Source organism: Homo sapiens, chromosome 5, assembly GCF_000001405.40.
Source record: "Homo sapiens chromosome 5, GRCh38.p14 Primary Assembly".
In the NCBI taxonomy this organism is placed as follows: Eukaryota; Metazoa; Chordata; class Mammalia; order Primates; family Hominidae; genus Homo; species Homo sapiens.
The window spans coordinates 137975865-137995959 of NC_000005.10; the positions used below are offsets into that span (position 1 = coordinate 137975865).

General features: G+C 38.2%; 1 protein-coding gene across 46 annotated transcripts in view; it reads right to left on the reverse strand.

Moving 5' to 3' along the window:
* Nucleotides 1-20095, reverse strand: part of FAM13B (family with sequence similarity 13 member B) — a 114219-nt gene that overhangs the window by 37905 nt on the left and 56219 nt on the right. For 42 of the 46 annotated variants that reach the window (NR_169824.1, NR_169815.1, NR_169814.1 and 39 more), the window contains 3 exons: nucleotides 12410-12451; nucleotides 11597-11752; nucleotides 9393-9525 (listed from right to left, as the gene is read on the reverse strand). Coding sequence is in view for 39 of the 46 variants with exons in the window: in XM_006714648.2 (XP_006714711.1) it covers nucleotides 9393-9525; nucleotides 11597-11752; nucleotides 12410-12451 (331 nt within the window). In the remaining 7 variants the exon portion in view is untranslated. The remainder of the gene's footprint in view (nucleotides 1-9392; nucleotides 9526-11596; nucleotides 11753-12409; nucleotides 12452-20095) is intronic. The other 4 variants (NM_001385869.1, NM_001385870.1, NM_001385874.1 and 1 more) reach the window with 1 other exon arrangement.

A 20095-nucleotide genomic window follows, 5' to 3' on the forward strand; every position in this document is an offset into this window, starting at 1 on the left:
GAGTGATTCCTACTGACATGCTCAAATCTCCATCCTGTATCAAGAAAGCAGAAATGGGGGACGGGAGTGGGGAAGGGGGGAATATCTCTTCCACAACCAGACTGCTCAACTCTTCCTTTTTTTTTTTTTTTGAGACAGTCTTGCTCTGTTGCCCAGGCTGGAGTGCAGTGGCGCGATCTCCGCCTCCCGGGTTCATGCCATTCTGCCTCAGCCTCCCAAGTAGCTGGGACTACAGGCGCCTGCCACCACGCCTGGCTAATTTTTCGTATTTTTGTAGAGATGGGGTTTCACCATGTTAGCCAGGATGGTCTCCATCTCCTGACTTCGTGATCCACCCACCTCGGCCTCCCAAAGTGCTGGGATTACAGGCGTGAACCACCATGCCTGGCCTTCTCTTTCCTTTTAATTTCAATGCAAAACTTGTGCAAAAGGCATTCCACACACTGCAGCTTCTACCTACTCACCTGATATTCATTCTCAACCATGAAATCCTCTACCTACCAAAGCTCCTCTTTCTTTACCAATAATTTCTATCACTAAATGCAATAAATTTTCTTTAATTGGAATTTTTTGCTTAAATTATTTGATTATAAATCAGAGAAACTGTTGGAAACCTAAATATAAGAACATATGAAGAAAAGTAAAATCATCCATAACCTATCAGCCAGAAGGCCACTGTTGTTGCAGGAAGTCAGGGACCCCGAATGGAGGGACCAGCTGAAGCCATGGCAGAAGAACGTGGATTGTGAAGATTTCATGGACATTTATTAGTTCCCCAAATTAATACTTTTATAATTTCTTATGCCTGTCTTTACTGCTATCTTTGAACATAAATTGTGAAGATTTCATGGACGCTTATCACCTCCCCAATCAATACCCTTGTGATTTCCTATGCCTGTCTTTACTTTAATCTCTTAATCCCATCATTTTTGTAAACTGAGGAGGATGTATTTCGCCTCAGGACCCTGTGATGATTGTATTAACTGCACAAATTGTAGAGCAAGTGTGTTTGAACAATATGAAATCTGGGCACCTTGAAAAAAGAACAGGATAACAGCAATGTTCAGGGAACAAGAGAGATAACCTTAAACTCTGACTGCCGGTGAGCCAGGTGGAACAGTGCCATATTTCTCTTCTTTCAAAAGCAAATGGGAGAAATATCGCTGAATTCTTTTTCTCAGCAAGGAATACCCCTGAGAAAGAGAATGCACCCCTGAGGGTAGGTCTCTGAAATGGCCTCCTTGGGTGTGGCCATCTTCTATGGTCAAGACTGTAGGGATGAAATAAGCCCCAGTCTCCCATAGCGCTCCCAGGCTTATTAGGACGAGGAAATTCCCGCCTAATAAATTTTGGTCAGACCGGTTGCTCTCAAACCCTGTCTCCTGATAAGATGTTATCAATGACAACGTGTGCCTGAAACTTCATCAGCAATTTTAATTTCACCCCAGTCCTGTGGTCCTGTGATCTCGCCCTGCCTCCATTTGCCTTGTGATATTCTATTACCTTGTGAAGCATGTGATCTCTGTGACCCACACCCTATTCATACACTCCCTCTCCTTTTGAAAATCCCTAATAAAAACTTGCTGGTTTTACAGCTTGGGGGGCATCACAGAACCTACGAACATGTGATGTCTCCCCCGGATGCCCAGCTTTAAAATTTCTCTCTTTTGTACTCTGTCCCTTTATTTCTCAACCCAGCCAATGCTTAGGGAAAATAGAAAAGAACCTACATGACTATCGGGAGCAGGTTCCCTGATATCTCAAAGTGCTGGGATTACAGCTGGGATTACAGGCATGAACCACCATGCCTGGCCTTCTCTTTCCTTTTAATTTCAATGCAAAACTTGTGCAAAAGGCATTCCACACACTGCAGCTTCTACCTACTCACCTGATATTCATTCTCAACCATGAAATCCTCTACCTACCAAAGCTCCTCTTTCTTTACCAATAATTTCTATCACTAAATCCAATAAATTTTCTTTAATTATTTGATTATAAATCAGAGAAACTGTTGGAAACATAAATATAAGGACATATGAAGAAAAGTAAAATCATCCACAATCTATCAGACAGAAGGCCACTGTGAATATTCTGACTTGGCCTTTTGACTATGTGCCACACACACATGCAGTGCATGCACACAAAGAAATTGGGACTGCATTAGCTTTAGTAATCTACACTTGGTTTTGTATGTTTTGTTTTTTGTTTTTTGTTTTTTTTTCAAAATAACTTTACCTCACAACTATTACTTGGGCCTTTAAAATAATTTTAAATGACTCAACTATATCCTATGATATGGATATACTATGATTTATCTAATCATTTTCCATTTAGGACTTTTTGTGTTTCCCATTTTTTTTTCCGATGAAGAAACCCCCAGTAAGAATTCTAGTAGAAAAATCTTTGCATACACCTCTGATTTGTATGTATTTCCTTAGGAAAGAGTCCTAGATTTTGAAATTTCTGGATCAAAGGTTTAAGGTCTTTTGTTCTTACTGTTAATGTGTTTTCCAGGAAGTTTACAGCAATTTATACTTCCGATGTCTGTATAAGACCACTTACCTTAACCTACCCTCACCAGCATTAAATATATTGTTCCTGGGTATTCTTAAATTTTTTGTTCAACAGCAAAGGCAAAGAAAAAAAAAAAGCCATTTCATTAGACTTTTAACCACCCTAGCAAGCAAATAAAATTAAACTTACTCTTCTTATTTTTGTACCTTTGCCTCCCACCACCTTTTTTCCTCCTTTTACCTCTCTATTTTGACCAACTTTCAGACTCAGGAAAAAATCCCATCCTCTTTGACATTCCCAACTGCTATGGTCATGGCTGCTTTTTTTCCTCCAAAGAGCTAGAATACAGAGGTTCCCCAAGGGTTTCTTCAATCCCCGTTTATTCTATTCAAGTCACTGCTTTGGCAATGGCATTCACTCACAGACAAAATGAGCCTCCACCACCAGCCACAGCTCAAGACCTGAACATCTGCTTCATATAAACCACCTTGATATTCCAGTTCTGCAACACTGACCTCTTTTCCAATCTCTTAGTGTCTGTGTTTCTTACCCCAGTTTGCACCTAAATCTTAATCATTTTCACCTTTGGAATTTTCTCTATTTTTCCTTCCTTCCCTAGGGCTCACAGTTCAGACTTTTTTTTTTTTTTTTTGAGACAGGGTCTTACTCTTTCACCCAGGCTGGAGTGCAGTGGCATAATCTCAGCTCACTGCAACCTCCTCCTCCTGGGTTCAAGAGATTCTCCAGCCTCAGCCTCCCGAGTAGCTGGGATTACAAGCATGTGCCATCATGCCCCGCTAATTTTTGTATTTTTAGTAGAGATGCGTTTTCACCATGTTGGCCAGGCTGGTCTCGAACTCCTGACCTCAGGTGATCTGCCCACCTTGGCCTCCCAAAGTGCAAGGATTACAGGCATGAGCCACCATGCCCACCAGCTCAGATATTTTAAGTGCTCGCCAAATACAGTGCAAAAAGCCTACTGATTGTTGTTGTCCTTACCCCCAGTCTTTCCCACAAACTTTTTATGACTACTACAAAAAACCTTCTTCCTAAAATACAGATCTGGGTACATCATTCCCTCTGCTTCAAAGTTTTCTATATTTTTCTTCTACTGAGAAAATCTACAATTCTTAAGATAGTATTCCAGGCTCTACGTATGACCCAAATCTACCAATATTCCAGAATTATCTTCTACTATATATCCTCCCACAATACCCTGAGTTCTACAAGTAGCTCTGTTTCATTAACATTCAACATTACCCTGTAATCTTTACTTATACTATTCATTTTAGTTTCTTTCACAAATCTTGAACCAAATCCAGCCCTATAAAAAGCCAAGTTCAAAATCCCCCTCATTCCAAGACCTTCCATAACTACCCTGGCCAGAAGTTCTTTCCTCTCTTCTGCAAGACTATAGTGCCCTAATAGCACTAGTCATATTCTGTATTAGAAAGTATGTGCATGTACAACCTAGATTATCAAGTCATTGAAAACTTAAATCGACCAGGCACGGTGGCTCACGCCTATAATCCCAGCACTTTGGGAGGCCAAGGCGCGAGGATCACCTGAGGTCAGGAGTTTGAGACTAGCCTGATCAATAAGGAGAAATCCTGTCTCTACTAAAAAAAAAAAAAAAAAAAAAAAATTAGCCGGGCGTGGTGGCACATGCCTGTAATCCCAGGTACACAAGAGGCTGAGGCAGGAGAATCACTTGAACCTAGGAGACGGAGGTTGCACTGAGCCCACATCACACGACTGCACTCTAGCCGGGGCGACAAGAATGAAACTCCGTCTCAAGAAAAAAAAAAAAAAGAAAGAAAACTTAAATCAGGTATTTTTGCTTATACTGTCCAAGTAAACAGGTATTATTGTGTATTGCCCAACTGAACTAACTTATTCAAATAATAAGAGTATCACTGAACTTCTTAGCTGGGGTTGGGGGGAAGAAATGGTGACAGGTTTTTCAAGGCCAAGAACCCATCATTCATAAAGGTTTCCTAAAAACAATTTTAGAAAGAATTAGTTCCTGCTCTCTTTATAAAGTAATTGATACACTAATTTCTTTTTTTTTTTTTTTTTTTTGAGACAGGGTCTCACTCTGTCACCCAGGCTGCAGTGCAGTGGCACGATCTCAGCTCACTGCAACCTCCACCTCCCAGGCTCAAGCAATCCTCCCACCTAAGCCTCCCAAGTAGCTGGGACTACAGGCGTACGCCACCTAGCCTGGCTAATTTTTATTTTTGTAGAGACGGGGTTTCACCATGTTGCCCAGGCTGGCCTTGAACTCCTGGGCTCAAGCGATCCACCTGCCTCAGCCTCCCAAAGTGCTAGGATTACAGGCGTAAGCCACTGCGCCCAGCCTAATACACCAATTTCATTCAACAAATTATTTACCGAGTTGTTTACTAGCTTACTATGTGCCAGATGCTATTCTGGTCTTACATCAACAAATGCTTAATGAATACCTACTAAGTGTTCTAGATAATAGGGATGTAATAAAGAACAAAACAGACAAAAATTTCAGCCCTCATAAAGTTTTTTTTTTTTCTTCAAAGACAGGGTCTCACCGTGTCGCCCAGGCTGAACTGCAGTGGTGTGATCACCACGCACTGCAGCCTTACCTCCTGGGCTCAGGTGATCTTCCCACCTCAGCCTCCCAAGTAGCTGGGACCACAGGGGAGCACCACTACACCTGGCTATTTTTTTTTTTTTTTTTTTTTTTTTTTTTACCATTTTTGTACAGATGGGTTCTCCTCCTTACATTGCACAGGCAGGTTTCAAACTCCCAGGCTCAAATGACGCTCTCACCATGACCTCCCAAAGTGCTAGGATTACAGGCATGAGCCACTGTGAGTAGCCCCATGAAGTTTTAATCTAATAGTGGGAGACAGACAATAAACAGACTAGTAATATAAAAGAAATGGCTGGGCATGGTGCCTGATGCTTGTAATCCCAACACTTTAGGAGACTGAGGTAGGAAAATCGCTTGAGGCCAGGAGTTTGAGGTTACAGTGAGTATGATCATACCACTGCACTCCAGCCTGGGAAAGAGTGAGACCTTGTCTCTAAAAATAAAAATTAAAAGATATATAAAATAATTATAACACTATCTAAAGTGGGGAGGGGGCCAGGTGCAGTGGCTCACGCCTGTAATCCCAGCACTTTGGGAAGCTGAGGCACACAGATCACTTGAGGTCAGGAGTTTGAGACCAGCCTGGCCAACACTGTGAAACCCCGTCTCTACTAAAAATACAAAAATTAGCCGGGCGTGGTGGCACATGCCTGTAATCCCAGCTACCTGGGAGGCTGAGGCAGGAGAATGGCTTGAACCTGGGGGGCAGAGGCTGTACTGTGCCGAGACTGTGCCACTGCACTCCAGCCTGGGCAACAGAGACAGACTCCATCTCAGGAAAAAAAAAAAAAGTGCGGCGGAATGCGAAGCAGGGAAAAAGGACAAAAAGTTCAGAGACTGGAGTGGGTGGGTAAGTGGGAGGGCCTGCCATAAACAGACAGTGATGAGGAGATTTGGTAAAACTGAGGAAGTATCTGCAAGACTAGGTAAGAATGTAAGCTAAGGAGATATCCACAAATAAGCAATCCAGATAGGACTTATGATTTAGCTGTCTCAATCCTGACTATCACAGCCAATATTCCGTAGTGCCTATAGCTATATTTTGATAGCTAGAAGGCACTGGAAGGTTTTAGGAAGAGAAGTGGCATTATCTAATTTTCCTCTTAAAAGGATCATTCTGGCTCAGTGTTGAGAACATACCATCAAGAAACAAAGATGAGGAGATTAATTAGGAGGCAATATTAATCCAGGTGAGAGGATGGCAGTAGAAACAGTAAAAAGTGGTCAGACTTATCTTCTGAAGTAAGTCATAAAACCTTTGGCTGGGCGTGGTGGCTCAGGCCTATAATCCCAGCACTTTGGGAGGCCACGGCAGGCAGATCACCTGAGGTCAGGAGCTCGAGACCAGTCTGGCCAACATAGTGAAACTCTGTCTCAACTAAAAATACAAAAAATTAGCCGGGCATGGTGGCAGGCACCTGTAATCTCAGCTACTCGGGAGGCAGAGGTTGTGGTGAGCTGAGATTGTGCCACTGCTCCAGCCTGGGCAAGAAGAGCGAAACTCCATCTCAAAAACAACAACAACAACAACAACAACCTTCATTCCAGAAGTATCTACCCTATACCTGGATGAAAGGAATGCCCTTATCTCTGAATACACAGGGACATAGAAAAGAATCTGAACAAACAGGCCTTGGTTAATGAGCCGCCCTTTATTTATCATCCTCTTTGTCTAATTATTCATCCGCACCACTGTCCACTTTTCATCAAACCAAAGCATTAAAATACACAGGTGTGTCTGTTTCTGTGGGTCTTGATTTCTGAAGGTGTTCATGTCATGTAAAACTTACATTAAATAAATGTGCATGCTTTTCTCTTGTTAATGTCTTCTGTTACAGATGCCTCAGCTATGAACCTAATGATGGGTAAGGAAAGAAATCTTTCCTACTCAACAGATGCTTGGTAAAAATATACCAGTGGAAATGCTGGGTGCCTAGTTGGATATAGCAATCTAAAGTTCCAAAACAGGTCTGGACTCGAGATACAAATTTGGGAATCAGTAGCACATAGATGGTAGGTAGAGCCATTAGACTAAACAAGATTACCAAGGAAGTGAATAAAAATAAGCAATCTGAGAAATGGGCCCTGGGCCATTCCAAATTTAAGAGATTCAGAAGAGGAAGAGCAATCAGCAGAGGGGAATGAGAAAGAACAGCCAGTGTAGGTAAAAAAAAAAAAAAAAAAAAAAAAAAAAAAAAAAAAAAACCGAGTGAGATATCCTGAATGCCAAGTGAAAAAAGTATATCAAGGTAGTGGGAGTAATTAATTGAATCAAACCTTGCTGTTAGGTCAAGTAAAACATTCAACAGACATCACTGGTGACTTGCAAAAGCTATTTCAGAGGAATGAATGGTCGGAGGAAAGGATCACTGCAGTGAATTTAAGAGAGAATGGGAGGAGAAGAGTTAAAGAAAAGAGACACAGACAATTCTTCCAGCAATTCTATTTATAAAGGGAAGCAGAGAAATCAGGGTGTATGTGCTAGAATGGGATGGGGGGAGTCGAGAGAGGGTTTTTTCTGAACTTGGAAGAAATAACAGTATAAATGTTTTACACTGATGGGAATGACTAGGTAGACAGGCAGAAACTGATAATCCAGGAAAGGGCAAGAGGACAACTATAGAAGCAATAACTGAAAAGCTGTTCATCTAATACACCCAAGTCTGTGAAACTAACAGTGGCAGCTTAACTTCTTTGAAATGTCTTCTAGTTTATAAAATAATTTTATAATATGTTCACATCTTTTTATCATAATCCTCTAATATAGGTATTACCCCCACTTATTTAGAGAAAAGCAAAATGCAGTTCAGAAGTCAGGTAACTTGGCCAAAGTCACACTGATACTGAACAAAGGCAGAATACAAAACCTAAGTCTTCCTACTCTAAATTCCTCTTTAGCCCTACTTTAGTGGATGGTTTAGAATGAAAATATACTGAGGAAACCCACCTTATCTATTAATTTAGCATCTTATTTTTAAAAGTAGTATCAAAATTACATTTTGAATGTCTTAGATGCTGCTTTTTACATTTAATGGCAATTATATTAAAAAAAGTTACTAACAAATGTGACAGTGACAATAATTTAGTCATTATTACAACAATGTTCCTAGGTTTCTGCTAATCAAGAAAGGATGCCAACAGTGGAGGTTCAGAACATGCCACACCAAATTATTCCTCTTTGGCATAAGGATTATTTTCAGCTTATTATTTTCAGAAATAGCAAACACAGGATAATACAGAGAAGTTACCCTTTTATAAAAGAAATTTTCATCTGTAGTAGAAATCTCCATTTCTACGGGTGTCTCCTCTCTGTACGAGCAAGAGAAAGATGACTCTAAATCACTAAAAACTACCAATCTTGAGAGCTAACCTTAACTTTGCTTACAGTGCTTTTCCTGGTCATCTCATTACAACTAGGTCTCCCCAACACCCTTTTTTCCTTTGTTTCAGGACATGATGGTATTTAAGCCACCTCTGAGAGATTTACTCACTTCCCCCGAGTATCTCCCATGTATATATGAGGTATACATGTCTTAAAACTTGTTTTTCTCTTGTTAACCAATATTCTGTTACAGGGATCTATCCCATCCTAAGAAGTGTATGAGAATATTATATGTTCTCCCCTATACCATGTTCTTCAGCAAAACTCCTAAGAAATACGGAAGCTGTCTTAAAAATAACAAAAGTCAACCATAATACCACCTAGCTACCTCTGCTGACATCATGATTTCTAGGAAAATAATTTAAAATAAGTTGTTTTTTTTTTTCTTTTTTTTGAGATGGAGTCTCACTCTGTCGCCCAGGCTGGAGTGCAATGGCGCAATCTTGGCTCACTGCAAGCTCTGCCTCCTGGGTTCATGCCTTTCTCCTGCCTCAGCCTCCCCGGTAGCTGGGATTACAGGCGCCCACCACCACGCCCGGCTAATTTTTTTGTATTTTTAGTAGAGATGGGGGTTCACCATGTTAGCCAGGATGGTCTCGATCTCCTGACCTCATGATCTGCCCGCCTTGGCCTCCCAAAGTGCTGGGATTACAGGCGTGAGCCACCACACCCAGCCAATAAGTTGTTTTATACTTCTCTACCCAGTGATGTTTCCTAAACTCTGAAACAATGTATATTCTTGGGGATTTATAATTGAGACAATTAAGTGTATCAGCAAAATACTGAACTATAACTTCTGGCATCAAAGAAACACATGAAGCAATCAAAGTTGTACATCTAACACATATTTTTGACATTCCTTACCTGGGTATTTTCTTCATTCTCAAATACACAATCTTGCTGCATAGCTTCATTGTCTAAATTAGTGCTAGCCACAGGTTTTGAACAGTCTCTGTTACTTTCACTGGCATTAATAATATCATCAGCAATATCAATCCTAGGGATGAAGTTTAAAAATCAGATCAGGCCAAATGTTGAGTGTGTAATGCCTTTACTTTAAAATAAGTAAATATCAATAATGATCTGAAACTTTTACTTGTTAAAGAAAATGTGTACCTTTCACAAAAATCCACACTTTTATCTTGCTAAATTAGATTATTAAATCTGCTATGTTTTTGTCTCCTCGGGATGTTGTGAGGGACCATGTTATCCCCTCTAAAAATGTTCATAAGCGAATAAATAGCTTTTAAAATAATTTATGGGCCGAAATAATCATTTCCCTTGTAAATGCACACTCTCACATAATAATGACACATCTGTCCTGATCAAATACAAGTCCAGTACTAGACACTACAGTGTCCAACACCTTATCAAGTAAAACAGAAATAGCTTCCTACTGCAGAGTTGTCATCTTACAGTTTAGAATATCCAAAACACTGCAGTTTTTGTTTCAAAGATGATACCACTACCCTCAATAGAACATGTGTTCCCCAGTGGTGAAAATAAGACTATCACCTGAGCAATGGGTATAGGTTTACAGGATCCCTAGCTAAGCTAAGGACAAACTCCAAGAAATCTGCTTACATCCTTTGAAACATTTTCCCACTATTTCTAACACTTAGATACTGATTTTTTCCTTCACATTCTGCCCAAATACTCCCAATAGATCCAGTTGTATACATGCTTTTTTTTTTAATGTTTTTCTTTCTCTTTTCTTTCCCTCTCCCGCCTTTTCCCAGTTGTATGCATTCTAATCATGCCTTCAAAGTACACAAACCAAGGCCATCAAATAGAGCTGCACTGGCTGGCAGTGCCATCCATGGCACGCTTGCAATTGTACTATATGGTATTCCAAAAATAAACATTCCCAGCACTGGTTTTCACATCCATTTACATTTTTCATTTTATATTTGATAGCTATTCTAGTTAGCCCTTTTAAAAACTGTCTTAAAAAAAAAACCACTCCCCAATTATCTTTTTTTTTCCTTTACCTTCCTATGAATCTTCTAGATTTGGGTACATTTTTCTCATCTTCCCCCCCCCAAAAAAAATTGATATATGAAAAACATGAAATCACTGCACCACGGTCTCTGAGGGAGGCACACAGGTATCCTGAAATACAGGACTGAAGTAATAGAAAACAAAGAGAGGCTTTCCTTCATTTAAAGGTAACAGGTCAGATGAAGAGTGGAGTAACATCATGCATTATAAGTACTTTTAACTAATACACATTTAAATACAGGTTGATTATTCCTTGTCGGAAAAGCTTCGGACCAGAAGTGTTTCAGATTTGTTTTGTTTGTTTTCAGATTTTGGAATATTTGCCAGTTAGCAACTGGCTCATAAATTATTTTAAAAGCCATTCATTTGCTTATGAAAATTTTCAGAGAGCATGACAAACAAGGTCCCTCACAACATCCCAAGGAGAGGTGCCAGACTGGCATCCCTAATCTGAAAATCCAAAATCTAAAATGCTCAAATGAGCATTTCTTCTGAGTATCATGTCAGTGCTCAAAGTTTTGGATTTGGGAGCACTTCAGATTTTGGATTTTTGGATTAGGGATGCTCAACCTGTATTAAGAGTTAATCTAACAAAAACATAAGCAGGGGAGAGGCTGGTGGGAAGGGATAACTATTTAAATAGCAAAGGATGATTCTGCCCACCATTTCACTCAATGATTATATGCACTATAGTGATATCAATCTGCTGCCCCTGTAACTGTCTGTCTAGATCACTCTGTTGCAGAGTCTAATTTTTTAAAGTTATTTTTCATACAACATAATTCCTAAAGGTAAGCTTGTTACTTCATTCGATGTTCAGGGGAAAAAAAACAACAAAAAACAAACAAACCTGTATTGGACTTAATAAAACATATATTATGAAAAAAGTGATGAGATATCCAGTGTTAAGTATGGATGTATATACAAGTATATATACAAAGTCACTTTTCACAAACAACTTTCAGAAATCTCCAAGAAAGATGAGATCCTGTTATTTAAGTAGCAATACAGTTTTAAGATAAAACAATTTTATAACATTTAATAAACAACAGTAAAATGTTTCTTACTGGTTATTAGATCCTTCCCCATCACAATGAATACTTTCTGCTTCATTATTACACACCACACTTTGCTGTTGTAAATTCTTAAGATCATGATCTATGCTGCTCTGAAGATCAAAAAGGTGCTGTTCCACAGCTGCTCTAATTGTTCTTTCTAAAATACTACAAAACAACACGTTTTAGTAAGAAGCAGTCACTCTAACTGGATATCTGGTGACACAGACATAAATGCTAAAACCTATGACCAGTAAAACTATTATGGTACTTAAATGGGTAAACCAAAGTGTAAAAAGAAATACATAAAAGGAATACATGATACTGGCTTAAGTTTTAAAAGTAAAATTTACCCAAACAGACAATCATATACAAATCAACCATAATGTCACTATTATTACTGGGATGGGAAAGATCAGTTGTCCCTATAATTCACTCCTCACTACACAGAAAACCACTAAATAAGGCTTTTCAAAGCTATACTTATAAAGCAAAATAACCTACTAACAGCAAAATGAAAGAAACCATGAGTACTGCTCACACTTCTTATGTAAAGTCTACTTTTTTAAAACTTATATTCTATGAACATTTTTCAATTATTTCAGAGGATTCAAAAAAACCATCTGAAGAAAGCTCATCTTTATTTTGTATAGTAATGCAATGGGTTTCTTCTTCATTTGTTCCTATCACAGTACATAAAAAACTAGTTTACTGCCTGTGTACAGTCTTTCCTCTAAAGTGAGCACAAGTACATTATTTTCATTTCTACAGCTTAGTAGTATTTTAAAATCTTAAAAATTTGTCTTCTATAAATATACTACTTACTCTGTAGAGGCTGGTAGGATGCTGATGGGAGATATATGGGTGCTGCAATCAAAGAAAGAAATTAGCTATAAAAATGTTCAATACTTAATAACTACAAAATGTGCTGAAATCTGCCATATTTGCACTACCTTGACACAACCAGGAGAGCACATACTAAGTGTTGTATTCTTGTTTACATATCAAGTTGGAAATATTTTCTGAATCTGGTTGGTAAAGCTTTCAAATATTAACCAAAGAAAATAAATTTGGAAAAACGTATCACTAACAAGACCAAAAATTTTAAAGTTAGAATTCATTATGAGCTAGGACCATTACATGCATTTATCTCTCATTTAATAACTTTCAATACCCAAGGAGTTACAATTATTTCCCCCTTTCCACAAAAGTGAAGCTCAAAGATGTTAATTAACTTGGCCAAATGCATATGGCCATGGGTTGGGTACCCCAAAGCCCCTGCTATTAACAAAGATGCTCTACTGCCTTCTACAACAAAAAAAAGTGACTAAAAACAAAAACACACACCACAGCATGAGCACCTCTCACAGATGATGAACCTAATTTTCTAAAGAAACTATTTTTCACACAAAAAGACCCCCAAATATATATACTTGTGGGGGTGAGAGTGGGACAACTACTTTCTCTGGTGCTCAGGTGGAGAAAAACTGATCTATTTCCAAAGCTGGAGGGAAAATTAGTTGTACTGGATTTAGGTGAACAGTAGTATTAGCCATTGATGAATACAGGTAATTTTTAAAAAATCATTTATCAGATAAAAGATAAGGTATGTTTAAATGGCACTGTGTGCCTAAGCACATCATCACAGCCAACACTTAGCCATAGGGAGGAGTGACCCTGCCTTCTTGACCTGAACACCACATCTGTAGCTACCTTGTCATTTTTTAAACGTAAATTAGTTTTATGAAGATCCTCCAAAATGTGGCAATACAATCTCTAACCAAAATGCAGAACAAACGCTATGAAGTTAGTATTGTCAGGATCCACTGCAGGAAACCAAATGAGTATCATTTACCATTCATTCACTCAGCAATCTTCATGTCTCTCAGTAGCGAAGTGAACAAATGCTTTATCAAACAACAGTAAGCCCTCTTGGTCTGACACACATAACCCCTCCTACATATAAAAATATTTTTTGTTAACTGCCAGTATCATGCTAGTTTCCAATGAATGGATTATTTATGGTTCTAAAGGCCTTCATGCTGATCGTCTCCAGGGAAGTGTTTACCAATATTCACACTTAAAGATTTTTCTGACTAGGTGTAGTGGTTCATGCCTGTAATCCCAGCACTTTGGGAGACCGAAGCTGGAGGTTCACTTGAAACCAGGAATTCAAGACCAGCCTGGGCAACATAGCGAGATCCCATCTCTACAAAAAAAATAAAAATCAGCCAGGCATGATGATGGTGCATGCCTGTAGTCCTAGCTACTTAGGAGGCTGAGGCAGGAAGATCGCTTGAGCCCAGGGAGGTTGCAGTGAGCTGTGGTCGTGCCACTGCACTCCTGCCTGGGTGACAGAAAGACACCCTGTCTCAAAAAAAAGAAAGAAAAATAAAACAACTAAAGTTTTTTGGAACTTCATTTCTGAAATCCAAAAAAGCTGGGGGGAAAAAACCCCAAAACATGGTACAAAGAAGAGTGTAGCCATCATCAGTTTATTTCTAGCGGTTTCCTGTGAGCTAAAAGTTAAATATTTATTGATTTCTGTAGAAAAAAAACAAAAAGTAAAAAGATAAATGAGGCTTTCCCTGAAGAGTCTTAACATGAACTAGGATATTAAATCATTTTCTGATATTTTGCTCTAATACACTATTGCTTACATATTTACATTTCGGTGATCAGCTGCTATTAAATTACAAAAGTTAAATCTTTATGTGGTGCGATCTGTTTTATTTTCCTTGATAATATTTGCAATCTCTACTAAACTTAGATAATTCCTTGCCTATCGAGAAATATTCATTTTATTTTTAATATCTAATTATAATCCACTGACAATGTGGCATACTGAATGGTGTGGGGAAAAATCTATAAATTGAACACTCTTAGCCATTTAATTTGTGATCTCTGGTAAGCTTTTGCTTTATCTTATACCAAATCCTGAAGAAGCTCTCTAATTCTCAACTACTTACTTCATCAGTCTGTTACTAAAGCTTTATATAATGTTTTAATTCTTGGTAGGGCTTATATCCTCTCTGTTCTTTCTCAGATTTGCCCTTGTTAGTCATCTGCTCATTTTCCCAGAGGAATTTTCTCACCCTTTTTTGTCAGATTAGATTATCAATAAAATGTTAGTAGGTAAATGGATACAAGATATTTCATAAAGAATTAAATAACCAAAAAGAAAAATAATCAACCTAACTAGATATACAAGTTTAAAATAAGGAGCCAGGTGCCAGTGGCTCATGCCTCAAGTCCCAGCTACTCAGGAGGCTGAGTCAGGAGGATCACTTGAGCCCAGGAGTTTGAGGCCACCCTGGGCAACATAGCGAGACCCCCATCTCAAAAAAAATAAACAAATAAGGATTAAAATAAAATTTATATATATTTCTGCTGATGTCAATATAGTATATTGACAAAGGCTATGAAACTGGCATGCATGTTGCTAGTGGGAAGGTTAATGAGTAAAAATTTCTTATGGAAATCTATTTAGTAATGCATTTCAAAGAGCTCTAAAAATGTGCACACACTTTGACTCAGAAAGTCTGAGACTCTATCAAAAAGGGTTTATCAAATCTACCACAATTTATCCTAGATACAAAAGGGGAGGATGGATTTTATACCATAAAGTATTCTCTGTAGCATTTTTCCAATATTATAAAACTTCTCAAAAATACAGAAAAGTGAAAATAAACTGTATAAGAACACCTATAGCCCCAACATTTAAAGTCTATAATTAACATTTTACTATATTTGCAGAATTATTTTTAAGAAAGAAATATCAGCAAATGAATATATAAAATGGACCAGGATAAATACAATGGACTGTTGTGAAATCATTGGTGCTCATTAAGATTAGAAAATAATATCAGAAATTGTCTTTATATGTGTAAGCATAAACAACGTGTGCAACTATGTACCAAAATGGCTTCATTTAATAATGTGTTTTTATAACTATAAACAAAGGCAAATATACTAAGCCAGAATTTGGGAGCTCTCTTACAGCATCTCTAGAGCAGGGATGTCATCCATGGACCACTTGTATCAGAATCTCCTGAAGTGACAGTGTTATTTTGTTGGAGATCTATACTTTATCCCAAACCTCAAATACCATAAAGCCAAAGTAAATAAAATAGTATGGCACCCACACAAAAAAATAGGCAGACAGAAAAGAAAAACAACCATCATATGCACTTCATTTAGAACAAAAGGTTGTGTACAGAAAGCAGGGAAATGGCAGTGTTTTAAAAAATGAATGAGATACAATTTGGTATCCATATGGGAAAAGTTTACTTGGCCCCAACCTCACACATGAGAGATAAAATCAATTCTGGGTAGATTGTAGATCTAAACATGAAAGGTAAAATAATAAAGCTGTAAGAAGATAATGTGGAAATGTTTACTTAGGAAAAGATTTCTTAAACATGACACAAAAAGCATTAACCACAGGAGGAAAAGAGTGATAAATTTGATTAAAATTAGCAACTTTTTTTTGAGACAGGGTCTCACTTTGTCACCCAGGCTAGAGTGCAGTGGCACAAACAAAGCTCACTACAGCCTCCACGTCCGTCTCAAGGGATTCTCCTGCCTCAGACCGCCAAATAAGTGGGACTACAGGCACATGCCCAGCTAACTTTTGTAATTTTTGTAGAGGCAGGGTTTCATCATGTTGCCCAGGCTGGTCTCAAACTCCAGAGCTCAAGTGATCCTCCCGCCTCAGCTTCCCCAAGTGCTAGGATTACAGGTGTGAGCCATCGTGCTCAGCCAGGAACCATTTTTTATATAATAAAAAATAATAAAATTTTTAAAACCTATTTTTAATATAAATTTTTAAAGTCTCCTGACAAAGAATTGAAAAAAAAAAAAGGCCAGGTGCAGTGGCTCATGCCTGTAATCTCAGCACTTTGGGAGGCTAAGGCGGGCAGATCACCTGAGGTCGGGAGTTAGAGGCCAGCCTGACCAACATGGAGAAACCCCGTCTCTACTAAAAATACAAAAATTAGCCGCGCATGGTGACGCATGCCTGTAATCCCAGCTACTCGGGAGGCTGAGGCAGGGGAATCACTTGAACCCGGGAGGAAGAGGTTGTGGTGAGTCGAGATCATGTCATTGCACTCTAGCCTGGGCAACGAGAGCGAAATTCTGCCTCAAAAAATAAAAAATAAAAAAAAACCTCCAATGAACCACTAAAGTTCACAAAAGTAGGAATCAGCCAAAACACATATGAAAAGGGGGAGGGCTCTTATTAAAGTGACAATGAAATACTGTTATATGCTCACAAGATTAGTTAATGCCAAGTGTTGGCAAGGATGTGAAACAACTGTCACACACTGTTAGTAGGGATGTAAACTGGAATAAGTACGTTGAATAATTAGGGAATACTTACTAAAACTGAAGACAGGTGTTAATGTCTTCATCTGCATGCACATGTACACTAGAAGATGTGTATAAGAACGTATATAATACTACTATTAATAAGTCACAAAGTAAAAAAATTGAATTGTCCACCAACAGCAAAATGGATAATTGTGGTGTAATCATACAAGAGGATACTTTACAACGATATGAGCCACAGTGACATGCAGCAGCATGGATAAATCTCAAACTTACACAGTGAAAAAAATCACCGTTCAGTGAAAGAAACCAGATCAAGAATTTACATATAAGCTGATTTCATTTTCATAAAGCTCTAAAACATACAAGGAAGTGATTGCTATAATGTCCACATAGTAATCACCTTAGTAGGGAGGGAGGGGATGAGGATTTTGAGAGCCACTGGGGTGCTGTCAGTTTATTCACAGATGTGTGTGGTTACAAGGATATTTGCTTCTAACTTGTTTTGCTATACATTTACTTTATGCCCATTTCTGTAGTATGATTTACTTTCCAATACAAAATGAGGCCAGCCACGGCAGCTCATGCCTGTAATCCCAGCACTTCAGGAGGCCAGGGCAGAGGATAACTTGAGGCCAGGAGTTTGAGGCCAGCCTGGGCAACATAGCAAAACCGCATCTATTTTTTTAATTAAAAAATTAAGTTTTTAATAAAGCAAAGAGGCTGAGCATGGTGGCTCATGCCTATAACCAGCACTTTGGGAGGCTGAGGCGGGCAGATCACTTGAGGTCAAGAGTTCGAGAGCAGCCGGGCCTACAAGATGAAACCTCGTATCTACTAAAAAAAAATACAAAAAAATTAGCTAGGCATGGTGGTGTGCGCCTGTAGTTCCAGTTACTCGGGAGGCTGAGGCAGGAGAATCGCTTGAACCCAGGAGGCGGAGGTCGCAGTGAGCTGAGATCCCACGACTGCACTCCAGCCTGGGTGACAGAGCAAGACTCCGCCTCAAAATAAATAAATAAATAGAATAAAATAAAACAAGGAAAAAAGCTTTTTAAAAAGGTAGATTCCAAGTTCCCACTCCAAATCTCTAAAGTAGGGCCCAAGAGTCTACATTTTTAACAAATGCCAATGATGATTCTTATCCATAGTAGTAAGTTTGAGAAACACTGGCCTAGGTCTATATCCAGCCTCCAAAAAGAATAAAGTTTAATAAAATTTCCAGTTATTCAAAGGAGACAAAAAGAGGCAAAAGTTCCAGTGGCCTTAAATTGAATAGATCACAAGGTAGTTGATCTTTTTTGCTTCCTAACCCTTTTAATTGCTACTGAAAACTACAAGTATATATAAAAGTAGTGATCAGCAAGCTCGATTATTACTGCAAGAGTAAAGATTCTTTAGCCCTGAAGAATATGCTGGGACAATCAAATAAACAGCTCCTTTTAATAAGGAGCCTCCCACCAGCCATAGTAAACAAATCAAATAAATAGATTTTCTACTTTAAGAGTCAGGTTGTCACCCACAAGGCTACATACAAAATGAATTGTACAACTTTGTTCTCTGAGCTTCTGAAGGACAAAAAGGACTGACTTAGCTTTCAGATTTCACAGATTTTAATTATTCTTTATTTTCATACTTTAGTCAAATCCTGTGGGTAAAAAGCCCTGATATATCAGCCAGGGCTCACACACACCAATAGAAATAAAAAAGATATATCAATATAGTTATGCATCTGCAGCTAAAATATATAGATATCACAGGGATGTGAGAGCTAAAATAAAGACACAAGAAAAATAACTGCTGAGAAATTTCAGGTCAAGTTACATAGGTACTATAGGCAGATGCCATAAAGACCACATAAAAATGCTAATTGTATTCATTCAACCCCTAGACAAGGAAGCCTTGACTAGAAAGACAAACAATAAATCACAGGGGACATATATATTTTAAAGTCATCAGTCAAGCACAACATTGAAGACTATAGTCATTCCCTGACATTTTATCCCTTCTGCTATTAACTCTATTTTCAAATCTGCCTACGATGACATAATCATCTTGAGAACATAAGATCAATCTTGCAACCACTTACTCCAGTCACTAATATTTTGTATCCAAATAAAATAAGAAACTACTATTATTTTAATTTCCCAATTGTAAATATTTAATGCTACAAACGATATTTCAATAAAAGTATTGCAGTTCAGCCTCAACTGACTCTGGTAAAGATCACTTTACCAGTGCAACACAGCCTTGGAAACCATTCTGAATACCCTGGCACCTTCCAACAAAAACATCAGGTAAAGACTTCATTGAAAGCACAGTAAAGGAAGGTGATAGGCTTATAAAAACTGCTGAGCAATTATTAGTGCTGAGTCCTACACACAGTAGAGCTGTGCTACACTCTGCAGTTTAAACGGAAAAAGACTGCAACATGAGGTCACTACTGACAAGGAGGTACCCAATCAAGAGTCTACAATTTTTTTCCTCATTACTTTGCAACTTTTCAGGAGGTGGACAAAGAGGAACAAACTTTTTAATCTAGCTAGACTTCTCTCAAAAATATATAAGCCTAATCCAATATAAGTGGAGAAACCAATCTGTTTTCATTAATCAAACTACTATAACCAGGGACATAAATTATAAATATGAAATTACTAAAATATGCAAAATAGTGCTATTGTTCAATTATCCAATTTGAGAAAAGCATTTATGGTTAACGTTTCAAGTCTAAAAATTGGATAGCTTCCAGATGAGTCATGCTAGAACTATACCAAAATTACCATTTAAAAAACTATGGTTTTGAAAAATGAACATATAAAACAAAACAAAAATAATAACCTCATGCTCCTTTAAAACCAAAAGCAAAAATCCTTTCCTAACTTTCCCCATCAACTTAGGAGTATTTTATACCTATGACAAGAGTATATCAAAAGATTTCTCACTGTTACAAAGTTAGTCAATAAGTTATATATAACAAGTCTTTAAAATATCAAAGGCATCATTTACAGGAGACGGAAAAGAGGGAGAGAACCTGTCAATATTTATCATGTGCTAGTACTTAAAACATTTTTTTTAACTCTAATAAAATTTCCTCATGACCCAGAGCATAAATTCTACTTGTTACTGCCCAACATTTCTGGTACTTCCACCAAAGTATGACTTCCTTTTTACACTCAAGTG